Source organism: Homo sapiens, chromosome 7 (assembly GCF_000001405.40).
Source record: "Homo sapiens chromosome 7, GRCh38.p14 Primary Assembly".
Lineage (NCBI taxonomy): Eukaryota > Metazoa > Chordata > Mammalia > Primates > Hominidae > Homo > Homo sapiens.
Genome location: NC_000007.14, coordinates 7420580 through 7446966, shown reverse-complemented (window position 1 = coordinate 7446966; position 26387 = coordinate 7420580). Strand labels below are relative to the sequence as shown.

Below are 26387 nucleotides of genomic sequence, written 5' to 3'. Positions count from 1 at the left end.
TTGGGTAGTTTCTTCACACACATGTACTGAGCAATATTCAGCTGAATACTCAAGATGGATGCTCAGCAGATACTTATAGTTTTCTCTGTGTAACTCTTTCTGGTAATCTACTCTGTGAACTTTTGATACCTTGGTTCACCCAGATGCATGTTTGTCTCCTTAGAGAGATGCCTGAACTTGCCCTGGTTTCTCAATCCCTGCATTATGACCTGGAAACTTTGTACAGGCACTGGAAGAAATTAAAGCATTTGATTGGAAGCTTAAATTGTGCTATGTCTCATAGGGAGAATGGTCTATAATTTTGTTTTCTTGTCTTGCCATTGTATAATTGTTTTTGAAAAGGCTTTATAAGCCTCATAAAATAAATTAGGTAGACGTCCCTCTTTTCTATTTTTTTTAGAAATGTTTGTATAAGATAGGGAATAACTGTTCTTCAAAAGTTTAGAAGTTTGGTAAGTCTTGACTGTAAAACCAACTAAGCTTGTGATCTTGGAGAGAGAGAAAGTAGAGACTTTTAATCACTGACTCAATTTATTTAATATTATTGGTTTATCTAGCTTGTTCATTTCTTTTTACAGCATTTATATAATTCATATTTTTCTCAAAGATTATTATTGTTTTCCAATACATTTGAAAAAATTATCACCAATTTTCTATGACTTAAAACATTTTTACTATATATATAGTTATGTCTTTCATTTTTGATATTGTTTATTGATATCTTTTAAAAAACCTATTATTCTAGGTTTTTTCTCATCATTCCTATTAGAAATTTATTTACTTTTATTAGTTTTTAAAAAGGCATTACTGGCCAGGCACGGTGGCTCACACCTGTAATCCCAGCACTTTGGGAGGCTGAGGCAGGCGGATCACCTGAGGTCAGGAGGTCAAGAACAGCCTGACCAACATGGAGAAAGCCCGTCTCTACTGAAAATACAAAATTAGCCAGGTGTGGTGGCACATGCCTGTAATCCCAGCTACTCAGGAGGCTGAGGCAGGAGAATCACTTGAACCCGGGAGGCGGAGGTAGCGGTGAGCTGAGATCATACCACTGAACAAGCCTGGTCAACAAGAACGAAACTCCATCTCAAAAAAAAAAAAAAGGCATTAAGTTTTATGAATCTTCTTACTTTTTGTTTTCAAGTTTATTATTTTCTTCTCTCATCTTTATCATTCCATCTACTTAGTGTTAGATTTACTGTGCTTTTTTTCACTGGCTTGTTTAGGTTAGTTGAAGTTGCTTTCAATTATTTTCCATTTTGTTGCTATTAATAAATGCCATAAAGATGCTTTAAACTGATTGAAAGTAGCATATTTTTTTCCTGAACATTTTAAAGGATTTATTACTAATCGTAAATTAACTCGAAAGCAAGTGGAATTACTGAATATTAGAGCTGGAAGTGTTGTTAGGGCACAAATTTGTTATTTCACTTTTATATTAGTTTTCTAGAGCTGATGTAAGAAAGTACTAGGAACTGAGTGCCTTAATACAACAGAAATTTATTGTCTCTCAGTTCTAGAGGCTAGAAGTCCAAAATCAGTCTGCAGGGTTATGCTTCTTCCAAAACCTGTAAGGGAGATTGCTTCCTGGTCTCATCTTAGCTTCTCAGGGTGTCTGTCAATCCTTGGCATGCCTTGCCTAGCAGACGCTCACTCCAGTCTTTGCCTCTCTTATCACATGGTGCTCTCCCTGTGTGTCTGTCTTCAAGAGGCATTTTCCTCTTCTTATAGTACCCGTTGTATTAGTCCATTCTCTCATTGCTTTAAATAACTACCTGAGACTGGGTAATTTATAAAGAAAATAGGTTTAATTGACTTACAGTTCTGCAGGCTGCACAGGAAGCATGATGCTGGCATCTGCTTGACTTTTGGGGAGGCCTCAGGAAACTTACAATCCTGGCAAAAGGTGAAGGGGAAGCAGGCACATCTTCACATGGAGGAGCAGGAGAGTGAGAGAGAGTGAAGTGGGGCATGCTACACACACATTTTTAAACAACCAGATATCATGAGAACTCTATTATAAGAACAGCAAGGGGGAGGTCCACCCCCATAACTCAATCACCTCCTACCAGGCCCCTCCTCCAACACTGGGAATTACAATTCAAATAAGATTTGGGTGGGGACACAGAGCCAAATTATATCACCTTTTATACTGAATTAGGGCCCCCCTGTAATGACTTCATTTTAACTTGATTAAATCTGCAAAGACCATGTTTCCAATTAAGGTTACATTCACAGGTACAAAGAGTTAGGATGTCAACATATCTTTTTGGGGTCACAATTCAGCCCATAAAAATAGAATCAAAAACTAAGGCCTAGGGATGTTAAGTAGCTTCCCAAGATCAAATAGTTTAGTATTAATTGCTAATGAGATTTCTCGGAGGCTTTTCTCAGACACTGTAAGATACATCCAATTGCAAGTACCTCAGAATGGAGGTATGAACTTTAGGGAAATAAAATATTTGTTCATTCACCAGGGAGAGCCAGGCTCAATAGGGCTCCCAGGACAACCAGGAGTACCAGGAGAAGATGGAGCTGCAGGGAAGAAGGTAACACCAAGTTTTTCGTATTACTGGAGTAGGAACTGTTGAACCAAACTGATATCTTGGTCCTGCAGGAGCTCGAATAAAACCATTCAGGACAAACTTAGTTTCTTTAAGAAAAAATATCTCACAATCCCAAATGTCCCTTTCCACTTCTCCCTGAGAGAAGGAGTGGCCTATTCAAAGGCTGAGATAGTGTCTCACATCCTCTGCCTTCTGTCTGGTGTTTTGGTTATGGCCTAGTTTCTTCAGGATTTCTAGAAAGCACATTAATTTAAACTTAAGAGAAAGCCACTCCCCCCGCCTCCCCCTAAGAGGCAAGTCTGTAAATGCATACAGGAAATAAGGCCTTTGTAAAGATTTCCTGAAGTATTTTGTGTTGACATTTGAAATACTCATTTTTCAGTAAAAGTAGCAAAAAAAAAAAAAAAAAAAAACAGCAGATGGAAAGGCTGAAGGTCTTCCCTGTTTTTTAAAAAATCTACCAAATGCGAATGAAGAGCCAAAAGAAAATGAGCTTATTGCTTTGGAAATTGGCTGATAAATTACTTTTTCATGATATTGCAGCTGCTCTGAGTTAAACTGGAGTTTGATGTTACTTTATTTCAAGTTTATAAACTTCCAAATTGATTTTGAGACTAGAGTGAAGGTATGGTGTGTTTTGGAGAGTCTCAGCTGAATCCACTAATGATAAAAGGAGACAAGGTGGGATGATACGTACAGTCTGTCTACTGGAGGGTCAGCTAACACATCAGTGTCATTTTCTCTAGGGAGAAGCGGGGCTTCCGGGAGCAAGAGGCCCAGAAGGACCACCTGGAAAAGGACAGCCTGGCCCCAAGGTATGGAAATGACAGTGTTGGTGGAAGCAGCCTGTGTTCTGGTCCTCATACTGAGGAGCCAACTTAGAAGAAATTTGATTGTTATTCTTACTATGTCAATGTGTTTATGTCTGGCTTAAAAGTATGAATACTGTCTTGGAAGCTTTTGGAAGACAGCAAGCGTATATGATTCACTTTTATTTTCCTAACGTCTATTGTAAGACCCAGCATAGAGAAGAGTTTGACACACGTTTTCTCAATAAATGGTCAGATTGACATTTAAAAAACACATAGGAAGGAAAAGAAGCCTTGAGATACATCGTTGAGATTTGACAGTCCATAAATTTTCTTTATAAAATCTCATGCAATAAGAAATATCACTTTATTGAATGGCCATTTCACTTCACAACTTGGCATAAATCTATTTTAACCACTGTAGAAATGCTAGTTGAATAACATTTTTATATGTTAAGATGAGACTATACAAATTCATCAATAGGATAAGACAACTAGTGACATAACCTATAGCCCCTAAGATTCCAGGTCTTCCTGCAATTTTTTTTTTTTTTTTGAGACGGAGTCTCACTCTGTCCCACAGGCTGGAGTGCAGTGGCACGATCTTGGCTCACTACAACCTCCGCCTCCCGGGTTCAAGCGATTTTCCTGCCTCAGCCTCCCAAGCAGCTGGGACTACAGGTGTGTGCCACCACACCCAGCTAATTTTTGTATTTTTAGTAGAGATGGGGTTTCACCATATTGGCCAGGCTGGTCTGGAACTCCTGACCTCATGATCCACCTGCCTCAGCCTCCCAAAGTGCTGGGATTATGGGTGTGAGCCACCGCGCCTGGGCTTCTTTCTATTTTTATGTGTAGTTATCAATTCCCATGTAAAGATTGTTATGGATTATATACAAGTCAAGTAAAAATAAAATTTGTATACATATTAGTGTTCTGTTCATAATTCTACTAAAATAGTAATTGATGTCTTGTGAACATACTCACTAAAATTGAATCCTTAATCTTAAATGTGAGGACATGAAATTTAAATATATTTGTAGGCTTTTAAACATTTTTGTTTATTGATTTACCAGTCTCGGGGATCCTTTTTGGGTGAGGTGGAGGGGATAACATCATCACGTGAAATATACTTTTAGAAATGCCGATCTGCTAACATTCAGGAGAATTGTTTTTAGGATGTGTTTTTGGAAAATAGGCGCTTGGAGTTAATAATTGAAGCCGTGAGAATGAACAATGTCTCTAAGGAAGAGAGTTGAGGTTTAAACCCCACATTGTGAGGTAGCTGGAGAACAACAACTCTACAGAATAGGCAGAATGGTAGCATGTTAGGGATACTGAGGAGAAAGGATTTCAAGATGAAAGCAATGGGTGGTATCAGATGCCACCAATAAGGCAAGAAGAATGTGCATTGGAAAGAGAGGCTACTGAATTTGTGGCTTGAGGTGACTTGTGGCTTATGAAAGCCTATTGGAGAAGAGTGGTAGGAACATGTTACATAGCCCAGGTATACCATGGTTCAGTGTTGGCGATTTATTACATGTAATTGGGTTCCTGCTGTTCATTTCTGGGGTGATTTAGGTCAATAACCTAAATTAGTGGTAGTGGAGGGAAGAAAATAAAGAGTTGTGGTTGAATTTTGTCTCTACTGGTAAGTGATAATGATATAAGATATTTGGACATTCAACTCTTTTTTTTTACACCGGTGCCACTGCTTTACATTAGTGTGGACCATGGAAACCTCTGTGGATTCTACAGGAGGTCATCTCTTCTTAATAAAGTGCCTGCTTTGCTGATGACCTTAGTATAGTCTAATGATTCTCAAAGTGTGGTCCCTGAACCAGCAGCATCAGCATCACCTGGGAATGTTAAAAATGCAAATGTTTGGACCTCAGTGCAGACCTACTAAATCAGAAACTCTGGGTGGAGGGCCCAGCAATCTGTGGTCTAACAAGCTCTCCAGGTGATTCTGTTGCTCAACTTTAAAAACCATGGTATAGTAATTTATAGTATAAATATTTAAATAGCCTCAGCTGCAGACCACGAGGAATTTTTTTTTTTTTTTTCGTTTGTTGAGCTGTGTACATCCCTGGATATGGCGCCTTGCAGTTGAACCCTAGTTGAAAGATAGTTTTGAAGGTAAAGGAATTCTTTTGGGAGAGCACTGTTTTACACAACCCTGCTGGGCAACATCTAGTAGTCAGTTCCTAGCTCTGCCCCAGGTTAATGCTCAAGCATCTTCCTGCCAATAAAACTATTGGTCTCTTTTGGGGGAAAGAATTAGACTCCCCAGTGAGGACGAAATAGGGCTGTGATTTTTAAAATGTCTCATTTCATCTTTTAAACCTGAAATAGAAAAATTGAAAAACAGCATGAAAAAGCATAGATAGTACTCATTTCTGAAACTGTGAATGTCTCAGAACCATCTGTTAATAGACCAAGGGTGAAAATGAACTATAAATTCAAACAAAAGTTCCAAAAGAAAGATACAAAACTTAGATTTTTGAAAAATAGCAAATCATATTGAATAAATAGTAAAGGCTGAACAATCTGAAGTCATCTGATCTCCTCAAGAACATTGACGAATCCTGCGCAATTGAGCTGTGCTCAGGGCACACCACTTTAAAATTGGTATTAGTCGAGAATCCGGCTCCGCTATGGTCCTTGCTAGATTAGGGGAGGTTGCTAATACCATACGAAAATCTATATTTTCATAATTATTTTGTTAGGGTGACGAAGGCAAGAAAGGGAGCAAAGGAAATCAAGGACAGAGGGGACTTCCAGGGCCCGAAGGACCAAAGGTATGTTTCTTGTATTCTGACTTACGCTTTGAGGAGTTTGTATTGTGTCTGGTTTTAATATAGTATTAAATTTCCACTGAAAATTGGATTCCTTGTTTCCTTCCCAACAAGTACAAAACAAATACCCCAAAATAAGAAACCTATAGAAAACATACTATTCCCAGACCACAATAGAATGGAATAGATTGCATAAAATATGTAATACTCATAGAAATACTTATGTTCCTAATTTGTCTGTCAGTCCTCTCTAGTAACAACCAAATATTCAGAAGTTGGGATAAAATTGGGACCATAGGAGCTATCAGTTCTTCATAATCTTGCTTTGCTAAACAACCCAAAAGCCTGAGAGTGAGAGGCAGCACAGTGATGATGAAGGCTCTTCTTTGGAAGGCTGATTGCATCCTCCTGTGCCATGAACCTCTTGGAGCAAGTCGCTTCAATTATAGAAAGAAGATAACGATATGCTCTATTTCACAGAGTTGTTGTGAAGACTAAAAGAGTTAATAAAGCACTTAGCACATTTCCTGGTATATAGTAAGTGTTGAATACATCGAATTATTCAGAGAAAAAAATCAATATGGTGAAATGGGAAGTAGGGGATCTATGTCCTGGTAAATTGTTGATAACACAGTGCTGAGGAAGAAGCGAAGGGGATTGTGAGGTGAGCAATTAAGTATGTGTCCTGACTTAGCCTCAGAGACCCACCATTAAGGTCATTTGAATGTGTCAGGAAACAGAAACTGCAAACGTAAGAGAGTTCATGTCTCTAGAAAGATACTAATTGTGAGAAAGAGACAAGGAGTATATTTTAGGACCAGATGATTAAAAAGCACATTTTTAAAAAATGGTGCTGACAACATCAGATACAAAACATCACCTGTACACCAGTGACTCTTAAACTTCAGTGTCCATTCAGTGTCCATCGGTATCACCTGGGGATGATTACAAATCCAGATTTCTTGTTACCATCCTCAGCTCTCTGGATTCAGTGGTGAGTGAGCCCAGGAATCTGTGCTTCTCAAGTAAATGCCCTGTGCTGCAGGGAGTTCAGGAAGCACATTATGAGAAGTGCCACTATGTAACAGATGTGTTGTATTAGTATTAATAACAGATTAGTCTTTATGTCCTAGTTACTCTATTTCAAAGTGAACATTTTTCTGTGTTTTGAAATAAAGCTGTTTTTAAAGATGAAGGTGAAGAATTGCCATATGTTAAAGCATAATCACCCCTTAATACAGGGTATTTGAGACCTGTATTTTAATACTCTCCATGATACTTTTCATGGTATAAAAGTAATTGACCTCTTTTTTTGAAAAAAGAAGTAAAATTAAATCTAGAGACATAATTTTGATTTTCCTTTGGTTTTAGTGAAGAATTTTAACAGGTTCATGTTCTGTTCCTTTGTCAAAGGCTTGGATGGGGTTTTTTTGTGTTTCCCGATTCTTGTCATGTCCTGTGCCATTGCCTTCCAGGTTTGGATTTAAGGACTGGCACATACATGCCTTGGCAAGAACTGGGTCTCAGTGGGCCAGTGTGCTCAGCTTGTTGGTTGTATTGGCTAATCAATACAGCGGGAGGCTTCAGCTCTGAAGATGAACACGGCCCTGGGCAGGAGTCATCACTGGTGAATCTGACTGATGGAGTCCCTGCTGGAGGAAGCAGGATGACTGAAAAGGAAGCTCATGCAATTGAATTTTCAGAGGACATGAGTCAGACGGAGGCAGGAGTAGTCAGCAGTCTGAAAACCTAGAGGGTCATGTTTAGACATAGCATAGATACAGCTCATTCTCCACGACTCATCTCCACAGTGTTTTTTGTTTGTTTGTTTTGGTAAAGGTCCAGATAGTAAATATTTTAGGTCCTGTGGCCCAAGAGGCAAAATGGAAGATATTTAGTTATTTGTATAATGACCACTTGAAAATGTGAAAGCCGTTCATAGCTCAAGGCTGTACAAAACAAGGGGGTGGGCTGGATTTGGCCCACCTACCGTAGAGAAGTAGTTTCCAAACTGTTTTGATTATAAACCCCTCCAGTAAAATTTTGATCACATGCCACAGATTTTTAATTTTTTAATTGTAATTTCTGTTTATAAGCTATCATACTAATATGTTATGAATTTATATAAATGAAATTTTAATTGATGAGATAAAAATATAGAGACAAGTTGTAATATTTTCTTTATATCCCAGTGGGTCATTTGGAACACCTTGCGGTGTGCGGTGACAATTGCTCTGGAATAGTGTTTTTCACCAGGGGTGCTTCATAAAATTTCGTAATCCTGGGCCCCAACCTCTAGAGCTATTGAATCAGAATCTCTGGAGTTTGAACCCAGAACTGTGCATTACCAAACTTTCCTGATAATTCCTCTGCTTCTAAAATCTGAGAATCACTTGTCTAGATCCAGATGGAACAGGAGAATTACCTGTTGCTCCAGATTGAGTCTTTGAGACTCTAAATATTAGACATCTCCCCCACTAAATGTTTAAAATTTTCTATTAAAAATGTCATTTTTTTAAAATCATAGGGGTTCTTTTTTTTGAGACAGCGTTTTGCTCTGTTGGTCAGGCTGGAGTGCAGTGATGCGATCTCAGCTCACTGCAACCTCTGCGTCCAGGGTTTGAGTGATTCTCCTGCCTCAGCCTCTTGAGTAGCTGGGATTACAGGCACATGCCACCATGTCTGGCTAATTTTGGCTATTTTTTTTTTTTTGTATTTTTAGTAGCGATGGGGTTTTGCCATGTTGGCCAGGCTGGCCTCAAAACTCCTGACCTCAAGTGATCCGCCAGCCTCGGCCTCCCAAAGGCTGGGATTACAGGTGTGAGCCACCACACCCAGCCCATAGGGGTTCTACTTCTTAAAAAGGATGTGAGATAACATGGAATGGAAGACTATTTTACCTTTGGTCATTAAAATAAAACAACAAAGAAAAAAGAGTTATAACCTAGAAGTACACCCTAAAACATTTGCTGAAGATAATTGCTATATTGAAAAAAAAATTCTCTTTGAGCTTCCCAACATACAACACAAAAAGGAAGCACCATGAATTGCATAATTTTTATTAGCTAATAAGAGGCTGCACAAGAGATAAAATGTTCCTAACATTCAGTGATTAATTGAACATAGTTATTTAAAAGCACTGAAATCTTACTAGTCAATAACTAGCAGTGGTTACAAAAGATGCTCAAATTATTTTCACATTGGTCTTTGAAACAGATAGAGGTCATAACATAATTTAAAAATCTGCAGACATTTCTGTACTTTTCTTAATATTGTCTCTATATGTGCTTTCTCTGCTTGAAATGTAGTGAGCATTTTGCTCTTTTTAAGGGTGAACCGGGCATTATGGGCCCTTTTGGAATGCCTGGAACATCAATTCCTGGACCACCTGGGCCAAAGGTATATATTCTTGGAGATTATTTTCTTTTTCTTGACCCTTTGGCAGTTGGAGAAAAAAAAATCATGATACCAGTGAACTAGAATTTTAGTTTTGGAAGAGCCTTAGAAATGATTCCGTTTAACTCTGAAACTTCACAGATAAGCAAACTACAGCCAGCAGCAGAGTTAAGACTAGAAACCAGATTTTGTGCTCTTGGTCCCAAGCTTGTCACTTTACCCTTCATTACGTCTTCCAAATCCTAAACCCTAATGCAGGTAAGAATTTAGAACATTTATTCAGAAGAATCTACCAGGATTTATAATTGAAGAGTTTAGCAGAAGAGATATCCACTCAGGTTGGTTGACTGGTTTATTTTTTGAGACAGTCTCACTCTTTCCCCTAGGCTGGAGTGCAGTGCTGCGATCTTGTCTCACTGCAACCTCCACTTCTTGGGGTCAAGTGATTCTCTTGCCTCAGCCACCCAAATAGCTGGGATTACAGATGTGCCACCATGCCTGGCTAATTTTTGTGCTTTTAGTAGAGACGGGGTTTTGCCATGTTGGCCGGGCTCATCTTGAACTCCTGGATTCAAGTGACCCGCCTGCCTTGGCCTCCCAAGGTGTTGGAATTATAGGTGTGAGCCACTGTGCCTGGCCTTCACTCAATTTTAAGAGCATTCTCAGCCATTCTTAAAGTCGAAATATTTGAGTCTGAATTGCCACATATTATTTCAATGGACTTTCTCCCAACAGCAGTAATAGTCTTTACTGACAGGTGTTATTTACTTAGGATTTGAAAGTCCCCTCAAATATGTTTGAAGAATATACTATCTCAAGGTCTGAGATGGACAGATTAAGCTCTTTACAGAGTGGCCAATGGTTTTTTTTGCTATGTGTGCTTGTGATTTCTCGCACAACTGTAGCCTGTGAAATGTTATTTGAAATGTACAGGGAGATAGAGGAGGACCTGGGATACCTGGATTTAAGGGAGAACCTGGACTTTCTATTCGAGGACCAAAGGTATGCTTTATTCATGTTCTTTTTGTTTTTCTGTATCTGAAATAAATGAAGGTAGATTTAATGCATAAGTTGATTTTTCTACTTGTGAGGTTTCTACATTGATTAACTAAAATGTAAGAATATAGCTATTCCCTTTTTTTAAAAAAACAAGCAATCACATAGTTTATTTTTCATACTTGTGGGGAAAAGTAGCTCTTATGGTTAAATTTTTGCTGATTAGACAATTGTTTGAAAAATGCTCTTTTGCACTGTCAGTGATACAAGGCATTAAATGGCCTCTGGCCTCTTCATTTACATATTAGTGGCTGAAGTATCTATTCTGCAAAACATTGTCCAAAAAAGCGTGTGTGCTTGGAAGCTTTGCTGAATAAAAATTTCCTGCTTTATTTATCCTTTTGAGTTATTTCAAAGGGAAAGACAAATAAGAAGAAACCAGGTTTCTGTAATCATATCTGGTTTTTCATGGCAACGAAGCACCATTTTTCCTCCTCACACTATACCCAGCACCACAGCAAAATTCAGCATGTATAGCATTCCTAGGTGTCAACCAGCATATCTCTGTTTATGAGGACAAGCTTCAGGGCCCCATCATTAGCACTTTTAAAATCAATAGCATGTTGTTACGTAGCTTTGAAACTTGCTTATATTCTCCCATACTAAGTTGTCTTATCTAGATAAAAGGGTTCAAGTACTAAACTGATGACCTTCAAAGTTAAAAGAAGAAAACATGGAGTCATTTTTTAAATAAAATATGATGCAAAACCTGTTGTATAAAAACTGACATAAATTGGAGTGGTTCTTTTTAAAGGTAAAGGGAGAATCTTGAGCCTCTCCTGTTTTTATTGCTTTAACAGTCCTCCCTGCTAGAGTGACAGCTGCCCTAGTTTGCCCGGGATTGAAGGGGTTCCTGGAACGCATGACTTTCCGGGCTAAAACTGGGAAAATCTTGGGCAAACTTGGACGAATTGTTCGTCTACTTCCCACAGATCCCAAGGTAACCCAAACTATGTAGACCACTCTCTTTAGAAACACAAGCTATATAGACAGCTCATGGGGACAATAGCAAATTTTCTAATTTGAAAACTGCAGCTATGACCTTGATCAATTATATTTGCATGACAATTTTGATAGATTGAAGCTGTGTATTCACAATCCGATTTATACATCTCTCTCTACATATACTTCTGTTTGCAATAGGAATACAATCCAATTAAATGTGCTGCTAGAGTTTATAGGCCTCACCTGTTTTCTGTTGATGATTATTAGGCATTATAGGTGATGGTATTTAAAGATATTTGCCTCTTCACTCAATCATTTTGCTACTCCCCTGGACTCTAATGATACTCTTTCTGTTGTTCTTCCCTAGTTCATTAGTTTTTCAGTTTTGGGAGGGTCATACACACCTTTGAAGGTCTGACGGAAGATTTAGCACATTAATTTCATTTTATGTAATACTTCAGGGGTCTCCCAGATGCCCCCTAAAGCTGATTTCAAAATACTAGGTTTCCATTTTTACCCTAATTTCTATTGAATGAGAGAAACACTTTGAAGTAAATAACTTTGTAGGACATTTCCTTGAATCCAGTACAGAAAAGCCAAGTGGCAAAATTCCATCTATAAAAATATGGTAAGGAGTCCAAAATAAAAACCTGCTCCTCCTCTTGCTCCTTGATATTTCCTGTTAATAATAGAAGTAACAAGCTACCTGAGATTTTTGCAGGAGCAAGGACAAAGATCTCTATAAAAAGGATGTTTGTAAACTGTGAGTGTTTGCATGGTTTTCCCCTCCGCTGTGGTGTCAGACGTTAAACAAGAGCAGCTGCTGACAATTTGTTCTAAGTTTGGACTGTAGAAATAAAAACTGAAAAGTAAATTTTGATTCCAATTTTCTTTTCCTTTTAATTCAACCGGGGAGCTGTTACTGCTTTAGTTTGTTGTTGGCCCTCTCCTTGTGTAAACATGGAGATAAGTGGAAAACTTATTTTGGGACAAGTTTCATATGCAGATGTTTAGAGCTTCATCCTTAAATGTAACTGGAATAGCATAAAAAATTGGTTCTGAGAAGTGACCAGTTCCCCATAGTTGGAATACACCCAAATTTACCTGTCCTGAAGACCATGGGCTTCCTTTCTCTCATTCAACTTTAAAAAATCACCTTGAGTTTTTGTTGATGATGAATAGTAGGTTAAATTTTTATAAGTGGCCACATATTTCCTAAAGATGATCATTCTTAAGAAGGTTAACCACATAAAAACAGCCTTTTAGATTTAATAGGAAATAACAGCTGTTGCATTCTTGGTTTTTAAAATAAAGTTTCTGATTGCTTAAAGAGTATATAAAAAATTTTCCCCTGTTCCCAGTCAATTATTCATTTATTGGAGTATAGTTGAGAATAGTTTTTGAGAGTTGGACTTTGGGCAGTATTTTCACTTGGAATAATGGCAATTTGATCTCCGAGTTTGTTTGCATATGAGGAAAGTTCTTAAGAGTCCTGCTACTTTCTTTCTCCATTCTTGCAAAACAAAGGTCTGCCTGTTGTTAGAGTTTCCTCCCAATATAAAGAAAAACCATAAATATTTTAAAACATGAGCAGCTCTTTATCAAAACAAGGGCTGCATATTGACAAGGGCTGTTGTAAGAGTCATCAACAACAGATCGGTGTAACAGATCAGTGGAATATGTTGTAAAAAGAAGTATTACAAGTTTTAAATAAAAGTGTAATGGACTTGTAGGTAATCTTTTTTTTTTTTTTTTTTTAAATGAGACAGAGCCTTGCTCTGTCGCCCAGGCTGGAGCACAGTAGTGTGATCTCTTCTCACTGCAGCCTCAGCTTCCCAGGTTCAAGCAATTCTCCTGCCTCAGCCTCCTGAGTAGCTGGGATTACAGGCACCCGCCACCATGCCCAGCTAATTTTTGTATTTTTAGTAGAGACGGGGTTTCACCGTGTTGGCCAGGCTGGTCTTGAACTCCTGACCTGGTGATCCACCCACCTCAGCTTCCCAAAGTGCTGGGATTACAGGCGTGAGCCACCGCACCCGGCCACTTGTAGGTAATCTTCTAAAAGATCCTTCTTAATTTTTTTCTCTCCCCCCGTTTTACTTGAGTCAGAAATTTTCTGATTGCTGTTTGTGAGACAGTTACAAGTCTTAGAAAACTCTGTTGTCTAAAGGACAATAATCACCCCTCCCTGCTCTTTCTGTAGGAGACTAAGGGCTGTTACTAAAAGTTTTTGATGCCTAAGGTCATCACTGTAAAACAATATTTACAACTTTTCCCTAGGTCTCAAGATATGAGTCACAAACTCTATCCCTTCATAACTTGTTTTTGAAAAATTAATGTGTTTTTATTTTCATCTGGGTTTATTTATTCCCCGTATAATTCGGGCCCCATTAATGAAGAGAATAGATTTAACGCAACAATAGGAAACTAGTTATCCCACACTCAAAATTTTGCTATGTATTCTTTTCTACTCTTCTCACATTGTGCTTAATAAATTTTCTTTTTTATACTTCTTCTTGATTTACGATGCACTAAAAATTTATAATTTTAAGAATTAAAGTACTAGCAATAAGTCATTTTCTAACTCCCGGGTTAGAAATCGACCGTTGGCATATTGAGTTGGTGTTATGCTTAAGTTTGACCAGGTGTTTTCTAGTTGAGTCTCATGATATCACTGATGTTGGAATTTACCCAGGGTGTCCAAGGCCCTCGGGGACCAGTGGGTGCTCCAGGACTCAAAGGTGATGGCTATCCTGGTGTGCCTGTAAGTGGGACATTTTTTTCTTCCCTCCCTCCTTTTTGAGTGTTGCATACTACAAGGATGCTCACTCCCTCCCTTACTGTGTCATCTCAGGGACCTCGTGGATTACCAGGACCCCCTGGGCCGATGGGTTTACGTGGAGTGGGAGACACTGGAGCAAAGGTAAGACTTTAAAGTAGGCAACGTACTAGCTTCTAAGAGTGCACCTATAGGTAGGTGACTTTGGTAAAAATAAAATTTTTTATCAGCTAGAAGAGTAGAGGTGTCTGAAATAATTGATAAAGTTATTTGCCCTTATCTATAGACTTCCTGGGGAACTAATCTGAACATGTAGACTAACTTTATGGTTTGGGTCCTCCTTCTCTGATAGCAACTCGCATTCCTTTGCTGCTTCCTCTTCTTATACCAAGATCAGGGTACAAGTCGGAGATCTCCTCTCTCCTCTAGCCATACTCTTTCCCTAGATACTCTCGTCCAGCCCCATGGCTTTAACCACTGTCCACACACTGATGACTTCCAAATACCTATCTTTTCTCCCTTAAAATCTGGTCTCATGTATCTAATTTCCTACCATGTATCCCCTCTTGGGCTTCTCACAAACATCTCTAATTTAAAATAATCCAAAATAAGATCCTTGATTTTTGCCCCATAACCCTGCAAATGGCTCTTCCATGCTCAAGCCAGAAGGATTAAGCATCATCCTTTGTTCCTTCCTTTCCTTCTCCTTCCTCCACACCTAGTCCTTTGGTAAATCCTGTCAATGCTACCGCCAAAATATATCTCAACTCTGGCTCCTTTTTTTCTTTCTGCTTCTGCCAGGCAGACAATGTCATCTCTTACGTGGGCTGTAAAAATAGCCTCTTCATTGGTCTTCCCTCTGTTCCACCTCTGTCCTCCTATAACTTAGCAGGAAGAGTGGTCTTTTAAAACCGTAAATCAGAGCATATACCATTCCTTCCTAGAAACACCCTGGTGGCTTCTCTTTCAGACTTTGAACACTTCCCATGGCCTTGAAGATCCTTCATGCCCCGACTGCAGCTTCTGTCATTTCTCCCTGGCTGCCGACATTCAGCCAAAATGGCCTGCCCTACTTCAGCTCATTCCTGCATCAGGGACTCGCCAGGATGGCTGATTATTAAAAGCTTAGCTCAAATGTCACCTCCCCGACCACCCATACAGAAAGCATTACTACCCCAACCCCTCTGTATGTTTTCCATGTAGCGTGTATCACTTTCTGAGATCATCTTCCTCATTTATTTCTCTGCATATTCCATGAGAGTGAAGGTTTTCCTGGAGCAGGCTTCTTGCTTTGTTCCCTCCTAACTTCATGTCACCAGAACTAGGTGTACCATTCAGTAGGAGCTCTACAACTTGTTGAATGAATGGAAAATGAATAAATGATCAATATTACCCTAAAGGGAGAATTTTTCCTTTGAAATATATCTACTTACTTTTTTGAATGTTTCCAGGTCATTAGAGAGAAAAGATGTTGTACGTGCTTAATGCCAACTTCTCCCCTTGGTTTTTGCCCCTGCCACAAAATTTAGAAGTGCCTCTTTGCCCTCTCCCAGGTGGAATAAAAGATTGGAGACCCATGGCACTAAATTTCATCTTTAAAAGGGAATCTTGATAGCTGCCACATTCTGCTTCTGGGGGTAATGATGAGAGTCCAATGAGGATGTATCTGGAAGTGCTGTGTACACTGTACAGACAGGACAAACCCGAGGTGCTTCGATGAAGGATCTGGCTTGGTCTGACTCAGGACTACATCAGATCCTTGAATAAGCCTCAACTGTATCAATAAACTGCACCAAATTTGGGTACTGATGTATTCTTTTTTCTTTAAGGCATAGCACCTGTCAAAATCCTAAAATTAAAAAAAATAGAGAAATTCAATAGGTAAACCTCATTATCTTACGCTGTGAGTGAAACAATGGTAAAAACTTGTATATTGAATATTTAGGGAAGTAGAAGCTTATTTCTATGTAAAATAAAACATGAAATAAAATATGTTAAATATATACTAGAATATGTGTATTCCAATGGAAACAGATGATCATTTACATTTTCACAGAGTAGATTATTATGAATTTTTTATATAACTAGACATGATGTTATATTAAATTATACGATTATGTTACTGCTTTACATTGAGCAATAATAATAAATACAGGCACTTAGGCACAGATAAAGAACACTTAAAAAACTAGCCAGGTGTGGTGGCTCATGCCTGTAATTCCAGCACTTTGGGAGGCTGAGGTGGGCAGATCACCTGAGGTCAGGAGTTTGAGACCAGCCTGGCTAACATGGTGAAACCCCGTCTCTACTAAAAATACAAAAATTAGCTGGGCGTGGTGGTGGGCGCCTATAATCCCAGCTGCTCAGGAGGCCGAGGCAGGAGAATTGCTTGAACCCGGGAGGCGGAGGTTGCAGTGAGCTGAGATCGCACCACTGCACTCCAGCCTGGGCGACAGAGCGAAACTCCATTTCAAAAAAAAAGAACATAAAAAACCCAATTCTTATGAATATTTCACTGTGTCAGATTATCTAAGATACAGACTAAAACATTTACTAAATGATTGCATATGCCATTTTCCTCCAAAAGTCCCCTGTATTTGCCTTCGTCTACATTTTAGGGGGAAAAAGGTAAGAAACAAAGGGTTCAAAACTTCATCTTGCCTATTGTTTTTTTTGAAATGGCTAATATGCTGCCAGAAGATGTATCTTAAGTGAAACTCCCATTGTCTGAGTGAGCCCACGCGGAAGGCTGAGTGGAAGCGGCAGTCCATGGTTTGCTTCCAGCTGCAGGCAGAGCCCGGGGGAGAAGAGTACTAGGTAGGACCTACCTGTCTGCACGCCTCCCTCTCACCTGCTTTTCCTTCCTTCCATTGCTTCTTGTCTCTTCCCATGGAAATTGTGTTGTTCAGAATTTCTCTAGCCCTGGAAGGAGATGTTAGGAGGGTGAGCTGGTCTTAGAATCAAGGGAACTTGGATCATAAACTTGAAAATAAAGGAAAGTCTAAAAGAAAATACCAGCTTCTAAGTAACTTTAAAAATCATCTCTCCTTTTTTACAGGGGCTTCAAAATTTCTATGTGGCCTTTTTTTCTGAAGAAAACTTCTGGAAACACACACGCATACACACACACCATCCCCCCCCCCACACACACACACAGAGCACAGAGAGAAAGAGAGTGTGTGTGTATGTGAGAGAGAGAGAGAGAGAGAGGGAGATTCATAGACAGAAACTGGCAAAGAAAGGAAGATAATTCCAGTTAACTTTGCCCTTCTTGCTTGGTAAAGTACGGGAAATTCTGAAAATACCAAAAATTGTCCATGGCAGCGGAAGCACAGGACCCAAATGTGTGCAAAATTTCTCCCCTTTTGAGTTAAAATGACAGTGAAACTGTATATATGTGTGTGTGGTAGTAGAGCCATATGGATCCTGATATGTTTTTCATTTAAGCTTTGTGTAGTCGCCTTAAAATTGTGGCCTTAAGGCATTAACTTACAAAACAAATGTGTTTTGAAATGAGGAAACCATTAAGGTTGACGATGAATTTATGGTGGGTTTTGGTGCTGTTTAGTTAAGGTCACATGTGTTTAGCATATGACACAGACATTAAACTCAAAGCTTCTGTGTTTCAAAACATATAAAAAGCAGTTGCTGACATCTAGCACCCTTGTGGTTCTCCGTGGCTCTTTTCCAAGTGGAAAAATTCCCTGCAACATCAGTGGTTATTGTCCTTCTGGATACAATTACCTTGAATTTAATTCAAATTCGGCAAGACCTTCTGAGATATTTCTAAAATTCTTGTAAAAACTACAACTTTGAAGGAGAGAGGAGATATAGATTTTAAACTCACCTTTGAAACATGCTGGGAAGAGGAACTGATAATTTGGTTTCTTGCTAAGTGGGAAGTGCTCATCCAGTGTCCTCACTCCTGGATCCAATCTCCTGGCTCGTTGATGGGGAAGCCAAGCTCCAAGCCCCACTCATCACAGCCTGCTTTTCTTCTCTGGAGCCTTAGATATTAAGGGCACTTCTTGTGGTTTGAGGGCAAACATGCCATACGTCTCATTTCTCTTCGAGGAGCTGCAGATAACTCTGTTCCTGTGTTTTCACCCCCAAAGCTTTGTAAGGTACATGTAGCATAAGGTCTGATTTCCTGATGTCTCTGATATAAGAGTTTATTTCTGGCCTCATAGAAAAGGAATATAAGACGTGGCTCTCCTGAGTTCACTAAGGGCAGGTACAGCCTACCGTGCCCGTCTCTTAGCTTTTTTCAGGCCCTCTCAGGGAGCTGGATCATCACAGAAAAAGCTATGACCCGCTCCAAAGCCTTGGAGTGGTTGAACTTAGCCTAATCTTTGCACAGAGGAGATCTAACCTGGATTTGGGGTTAGGACCTCTTAACCATCAAGTTGTTGGCATAAGTCTGTTGGCAGAAAAGACTTGTTGGATTGTTGTTGTTATTACAGGTATAATTACTATTATCATTGTCATGATTATGTATTACCTAAATATTTCCAGAATATTATGACATTTTTAACAGTCCCCCTGTTTTATAGATGAAGAAATGAAGAACCAGAAGGTTGAGCAACTTGTCTCTTTACAATAGAAACATTTTTGATACTACATTTGTTTTGTATATGAGAGGGGCTATGGATATGGATGAATGAATGAAAAACTAAATGGATGAATAAATCAGAGCAGAAAGCATGACTTACCCTGATCCACAGATGCTCAATCTCCTATGCTGTCCGTCTTCTATCTAGGCACTCTTTTGTGTGTGCAGTTGGATTGTTTCCCCTTTCAGCCTAGCTTTTCTATTGTCAAAACTTAAATTATATAAACATTAAAGAGAAGCATAAACCCCAAACCCAAAAGAGTTAAATATTTTTCAGTAACTTTAAATGTTTGAGTATTGTAAATACATGCTTTATTTGACAAAAGTGACCCATAGCCATAAAATGCAAGTCTATGTGGAATTCCACTGAGTATCATTATTCTAAAAATGTTCCCAGCATCTGAATTGCCCCTCTGTTCTCTGCAATGGCTCACATATGTACACTCCACCAACAGGCATTGGTGGAACAGAGGACCGATTCACACAGAGATGCATTAGGAATGTGTGAATTCCATTGGCAGACATAGACTGGACAAGGAACTCCATTTTTGAACAGTGCCCAACAAGGAGGGCTGGCCTAGGATACAGACTTAATGAAGTTAAGGGCATGTAATTCCAAAGTGGACTTGAAGAAAGCCACCTCCCTATAATATGACTGCAAAATTGCTTCAGCCTGGACAATCAGCCCAAAACAGAACTAATTAAAGCCAGAGCCATACAAAGTTTAGACCCTAGGCAGTTTGACCCAGAGGTTTCAGAAAGGGTCATATCCAAGACCAGGAAAAGGTGACTATTCAAGGTTACTCCCCAATGCAGTTATATGCCTGATCTCTAAAATCTGAGCTGCACTCTAGTAGTCCACCTCATGACTTTGAATATTGCTTTCATCTCTCCTTGCTGTTTTCCTAGCTTTGTATTTCTCTTCTTATGAGTATGTACGTACTTTTCCTTCAGCCCTGGAGACACATGGTAAATCCCCTTAACATTCATTGCCCACATCACCATAAACATATTGTTATTTTTGATCATGCAGACTTGGAGGAACTTTCTCCCAGTGGAAAATTATATTCAGTTTTAGTACAAGACAGCCTGCTCTTCTCACTGTCGTAAGGGGCAGTATCAATATTTATGTTTTCAAGGTTTCTAACCAAGCTAAATAAGAAAGACTCTTGCTCTCCAGTGAAGTTCTTGGCAAAAGGCCATCATTTGCTCATCTTTGATGAGATGATTTTGAGAAAAGGAAAAAATAAGAAGTTTTAAAATTGTCAGGGACTATGAGATACAGCTGTTTTGGGGTGAATATTAAAGTTTTAGGAGATAAATTGATTCAAGTAATTGAAAATACTTTAAATAATTTGAAATTTAAAGGTGAGAAAATACTTGAGAGGAAATGTAGCAATTTGAGAAGTTTGTTTTCTAGCATTTGTATAATTATTTTCTCATCCCCATGATGATCATGCTGACAGTTGGTACTATCTTCCTATTCATATTAAAGGGTGTCATTGAGAAATGACTGAGTCATATGACAACGGTCATTCAATAATCAATACACATTGCCAATATGTGCATATACTTAGAAAAAAGCCTCTAAAACTTCCATTGACATTCTGGCTACCACGAGTGAGGTATTCTAGAGGTCCTAACACATGACATAGGTGGAATTATGTAATTCATTCCAGAGTTCTGCCTATGTTTGTGGTAGTTGGAGTAGTTATATCTTAATTTTATTTAAAAACCAGAAAGAAAGAAACATAAGGCAGCTGCTATCATCACTTTGACTTCTACCTTATTTTAAAACCCAGTCATTCCTCAGTTTCATCATTTAGCAGAATCTTTAGAGTACCATTCCTTGGAACATCCTTAAGAGGCTGATTCTTTCACAGTGAATTTAATTTGCTTTTATTGTCCCCAAAGTAGAAAAAGCATGAAATCACTTTTGGAACAAGTATATCTTGCTTCCACCTTCTTCTCAAAGAGTGGCAGCAACTTAGCTGGCACAAAGGGAGAGAGTATGATTAAAGCCTCATTAGTGTGTGGGGGAGTAAGGGGGAGGAAAATAATCTAATGGGCTGATTATTTCCTCAAATATTATATTGATATTTTTAGAAAACTCATAAGGTATAATGGGTTGTTTCCTTGTCACTGCTCCACCTTGAAACCTTGCCACTTATTAGCTGTGTGACCTCAGCAAGTCGTTTAGTCTCCCTGAGGCTTAGCATTCTTATCTGTGATTTGGGATAATAATGCCTACTTCACAGGTTTATTATGATAAATTAATAGACTAATGTATGTAAAACATCTTTATGAATCCTAACAAATTCAAATATAATTAGTGGTAGTAGCCATTTTATGCATCACGCTGCCAAATCACACACATTGTAGGATGGATAAGAAGAGAGATTAAGAACTGGTATAGGTAGGAGATCTGGAATGAAGTCAATTAACACATTGGAGTAAACCGCAAAACCAAGGATTAGCAACGGAGGGAAAATGGGACGGGAAGACTTAGAGGGCTGGATTCTTGTGCAGGTCGTGTGGGACCTGTGTAATACAGGATGAATCTTATAATCCAGGATGTTCTTCTCCTTGAGAGGGTGTGACTGGCGATGTAGGGAAAGGACTTTTACAGTTTCACAGCCAAACAGCCGAGGTCTTTGCATTAAATGACAGCTGGAAGAAAGTCTATGGAAAAGTTAGCGTCTTGCATCTAGTCCCAGTCCACATCAAAATGGGAGATGGGTTCTGGAGTCATACCTGGGTTTGAATTGCTTCAGACTGCCTGGTTTTTGGCAAGTCATGTATCCTGCTGTAGCTCAGTTTCCTTATCTGTAAAATGGAATAAGTTGATGTTGATAAGATCAGGTAAGATAATGAATGAAAACTTCCTGCTGCATAATAAACTTAATAAGTATTATTTTTATTTATTATTTATTATAATAGTTTTAATATTAACCAAAGTGAAGATTTACTAATGAGAAAATGAATGAATGTGTTTGCTCTCCTCTTTCTTCTTTCATTTAAAAAGGGAAAGCTTCAATGTGTGAGTTTTAGAACCATCATAAGATGATGTGTATTTTTAAAGGAGTTAAAATTATCCACTCTGCAAGGTTATGGTCTAGGTGGTCTTCACTGAATCATTTGTTAAGTTCATATGCACAAATACTGCAGACAGTCCTGAATTTGGCCGTTTCCTGTGAAAATGAAAGTAGTATCTCCCATCTAGAATCCCTTTGGCGGGCCAAGAGGAAGTGGTATGCCATCTAAACAGTCCGTTATTCTTCTTTTGAGAGAGTGGGTGCAGGGGTTAGGGGTAAGGCTAAGACTGTCATCTTAGGAAAGTGATAGATGTTGTTACCAATGGCGACTCTAGAATTTGCTCGCACGTCTGTTCATTATCTCCTAATACAAGGGCTCCCTCTGCAGGCTCCAACAACCCTCAGCTGTTGCGTGGGAAGCTATGTCCAGCTATGCGACAACCTGTTGTAATTCCTTTATTTGTGAATATTGCTGTATCCACTGACAATAAACTGTGTATCTGAAAATATCACAGGTCAACGCACTTCTTAGGTACCTACGGTGCTGCCTTATGACAAAACCAGTGCCGTCAAATGGCCAAGCAAGACCTGTCCGCAATTCTCTTGCTCACATTTACCAGGTGTGGTGGCCTAACATGGACACACGGCCCATGGAACCACAAAAGATCATTTTCAAAGACCCCACCATAGTGGAGAGACACTACTTCTGTGGATTCTCAGATCATTAAATGCCTAATGTTCCCATCTATCAAAGTATGGTACATATACACTGAGGAACAACTCTCATGCCGTGTTACAGACCAATTCTAATATCTGCAGAACGTTAAGACTTGATTTAAAGTCTATTAGATTCACAAAAGCATTGCTATAAGTCATTATTTTCCCGTAGTTTGAAAGATACAAAAGATTATTTAGATATGTGAAACATAGCTATATGTCAACAATTATATGGATAAGGATGGACAGTTTGTTTTAGGTGAACACTGAAGGACCACAGATGACATGGAACACATCTTAAATTCATTGGCTGAGGCTGCGGGACAGAGAGAACAGTAAGGTATCTACAGGGTCAGCTGTCCTACTGCAGTTGGCCTTCAGATACTCCCAAAGGTTGAGGGTTAGGGGGACGTGAATAAGGGAGACTGTGAAGGAGAGAATGAATAGCAACACTGAGCATTGACAAGGCTGGCCTGAGGTAAACTATGGACCTATTTTAACTGCTTTTCCCGCTTGCTTTCCCATGTGTGGGTATTAGTGTAATTAATACTAGTTGAGGGGAGGTTTTAGCTAACATTCTCACACAAAAAAAATCATGAATTAAATACTACAGTGTCAAATTTTTTCTTAAAACATACTACTTTGTTAAAAAAAAATCTTGCCTTCTCTCCGTATCCCTATGTTAAAAAAAAAATTATGTAACATTTGGTACATCCCAAGAATACACACGACAGATGTAAATTCTAATGATGTTGAATCTACCTGTGTGCTCCTCCCCTTTGCCCAGTTTTAATATCTTTAAAATCATGAATTATTATTAAGGGGGTCTATTACAGCAACACTATCTCAGGTTCACTGGAGAGACTTTTGCTGGATATTGTTTATGGATTTTTAAAAATTGTATTAAAACAATTATGAAAATTAAGCATGCACAAAAGTGGAAAGACTAGTGAAATGAACTCTCATTTACATATCACACTTCCTTAACAATTATCAACACATAGTTGATCTTGTTTTAGCTATATTCTTCACTCCTCCCCTCACCACATTATCCTGAAGCAATCCTCAGACATCATCCATATAAAGCTTTAGCATTTGTCATTCAAATGTAAGAACTCTTTTTAAAAACTTGACTACAATACTATTATCAAACCTAAAACAAATGAACAATTCCTTAATATAGCAAATATCCAGCATTCACATTTCCAAGCTTGTCTTACCCATTTGCTGCAATTGGTTTGTTTGGATTGGGATCCAAATCATGCCCACACATTGCATTTGATTGAAATAGCTCTTAAATCTCTCTTAATCAAAGTAGACTCCTCCCTTGTTTTTAGCTCGCAGTTAGTGTATGTGTTATTTGTACTTGCGGATTTGCTGATGATATCCTCATGGTGTTGTGTAACGTGTTTCTCCCTCTTCCGTCTATTACTGTAAGCTGGTAGTAATAGCCGGCAGGAACTTGGGGACACTCAAAGCTGGTAGGTCAAGAGACGTGTTTACATCCAGGTTCAGTTTTTTCTAGGCCAGAATATTGATAGGTAGGGTGGTGTATTCTCTAATGTATCACAGCAGGAGGCACATGGTGTCTGGCTATATCCTTCCTTTTTTTTTTTCTTTTTTGGAGACAGAGTCTCACTCTGTCACCCAGGCTGGCGTGCAATGGCGTGGTTTTGGTTCACTGCAACCTCTGCCTCCCGGGTTCAAGTGATTCTCCCGCCTCAGCCTCCCCAGTAGCTGGGAGTACAGGTGCCTGCCGCCACGCCTAGCTAATTTTTGTATTTTTAGTAGAGACACTGTTTCATTACATTGGCCAGGCTGATCTCAAACTCCTGACCATGTGATCCACCCACCTCGGCCTGCCAGAGTGGTGGGATTACAGGTGTAAGCCACTGCGCCCAACCTGGCCATATCCTTCCTAACCTTTTCACCTCATCTTGGAAGGGCACAGGTGAACGGAAATGAATGAGAGGAAGCCACCAAATCTGGGGTGGGTTGGGGTGACTGAGCAAAGAGGAGTATTATTTTTGATGAAACTTTCGATGATTTTGGGTAAGATTTACTTAACTATGCTTGACTTGTTTTGTTGGAGAGTGTCAAAATGTTTGGAAGAGAAAAGACATGTCCTTTTAAGATGTAGCAAAGTGTATGAATCAGTCAGGTGTAGTTGGAGAACTTCAGGCAGTGAACTTACACACTCTCCCTTTGAAAGTACTTCATAGGTACTCAAGAAAGGAGTGCTAATGGAAATGTATGTACTACAGGGTTTTCATGTTCTCTACTTGGAGCCCTTGATGTTGGAGTGATCCTTTCAGCTGGCAGGAACTTGGGGACCCTCAAAGATGGGAGTCAGTAGGAGAGAGGTGTTAAAGAGATAATTAGCACCCGTAGCCTTAGAAGCAGCTAAGTACTAAGTGGAACAGATGGAGACAGTATAATAAAAGTGGTCTGTAAGCAAAATAGAAATACATAATTATGAAAGTAGATATTAAAAGAATTAAGTCAGTAATAAAGTACAGTTTTAAAGTGGCCCCCGTCCTTTTAAGGGCTTGGGTTATCTGGAAGTATTTTAGAGTTTATAAGTAGAAAGTAAATTAAAAGATGGACTGTTTTTCTGAATGAACAACTTCAACATTTCTTGTAATTTATGGTTTTTGCAGTGTTGGAAGCTGGAAGCTGTTTAGCTGGTAACAGGATATGGGCAAAACAGGACCTAAGGCTAAAGGTCTTGGGTGGTAGTTCAAAGCCTGACCCTGGTTCTTTTTTTTCTTTATTACTTTATTCAGGCATATTTTACACATTCTAGAATTCATCCTTTTTAAGTATAAAATTCAATGGTTCTTTAAGTAAATTTGCTACTAAGCTATACAGCCATCACCATAAATCAGTTTTAGGTCATTTTTATCCCCCCAGTAAAATCCCTCACGACCATTTATAGTTAATCCATGTTGCTGTCCCTGGCCCCTGGCAGTGACTAATCTACTTTTTGTTTCTATAGAGTTACCTTTTCTGGGTATTATTTATAAATGTAATCATATATCTGGCTTCTTTCATCAGTAATAATGTTTTTGAGGTTCATTCATGTTATGGCATTTATTCATAGTTTATTCCTTTTTATTGCTGAATTTACAGCACTTTGTCCATTCACCAGTTGATGGGCATTTAGGCTGTTTCTAGTTTTGGATGATTATGTATAATGCTGCTAAGGGCATTCATATGCAAGTCTCTAAGTGGACATACATTTTTATTTTCTTTGGGTGTATATGTAGGAGTGAAATGACTGTATCATTTGGCAAATTTATGTTGAACCTTAAACCACCAAACTGTTTTCCAAAGTGGCTGCACCAGCAATTATGAGGGTTCCTGTTTTTCTACATCCTTCTAGCCCTGCACCTTAATAGCTGTGCAGACTTGGGCAAACCTTAGCTTCCACTTTAATAAAATAGGTGAGTGGAGCTGACATATACCAAGTGCCTATTCTGTGGTAAAAATCATGATAGAAACACTTACAAGCTTTGTCTCACTTAATTCTGAGCCCTTTGAAATGTAGATATTATTTTCTACATATGTGATGAATTTACCGAGGTTCAGAGAAGTTACATAAACTAGACATCATTATAATGCAAGATTATTGTGAGTACTAAATTATATCAAATAACATATATGAACATAC

General features: G+C 38.9%; 1 protein-coding gene across 13 annotated transcripts in view, besides 1 other annotated feature; it reads left to right on the top strand.

Annotated features, from left to right (window-relative positions):
- COL28A1 (collagen type XXVIII alpha 1 chain) overlaps positions 1 to 26387 on the top strand; it is a 205677-nt gene that overhangs the window by 96904 nt on the left and 82386 nt on the right. For 8 of the 13 annotated variants that reach the window (XR_926936.4, XM_011515360.3, XM_011515358.4 and 5 more), the window contains 7 exons: positions 2478 to 2549; positions 3314 to 3382; positions 6106 to 6177; positions 9505 to 9573; positions 10504 to 10572; positions 14267 to 14335; positions 14426 to 14494. Coding sequence is in view for 12 of the 13 variants with exons in the window: in XM_011515360.3 (XP_011513662.1) it covers positions 2478 to 2549; positions 3314 to 3382; positions 6106 to 6177; positions 9505 to 9573; positions 10504 to 10572; positions 14267 to 14335; positions 14426 to 14494 (489 nt within the window). In the remaining variant the exon portion in view is untranslated. Of the gene's footprint in view, positions 1 to 2477; positions 2550 to 3313; positions 3383 to 6105; positions 6178 to 7649; positions 8336 to 9504; positions 9574 to 9711; positions 9972 to 10503; positions 10573 to 11426; positions 11531 to 14266; positions 14336 to 14425; positions 14495 to 15320; positions 16156 to 17047; positions 19215 to 26387 lie in introns of those variants that run through there. The other 5 variants (XM_011515364.3, XM_011515363.3, XM_011515365.3 and 2 more) reach the window with 5 other exon arrangements.
- Positions 7116 to 8315: an enhancer, noted in NCBI's record as "P300/CBP strongly-dependent group 1 enhancer chr7:7478283-7479482 (GRCh37/hg19 assembly coordinates)". NCBI's record gives its function as "activates an origin of replication core promoter dependent on BRD2, BRD4, P300/CBP, MED14 and CDK7 cofactors, with strong dependence on P300/CBP, by STARR-seq in HCT116 cells {active_cell/tissue: HCT116}" and the evidence as "EXISTENCE:reporter gene assay evidence [ECO:0000049][PMID:35650434]".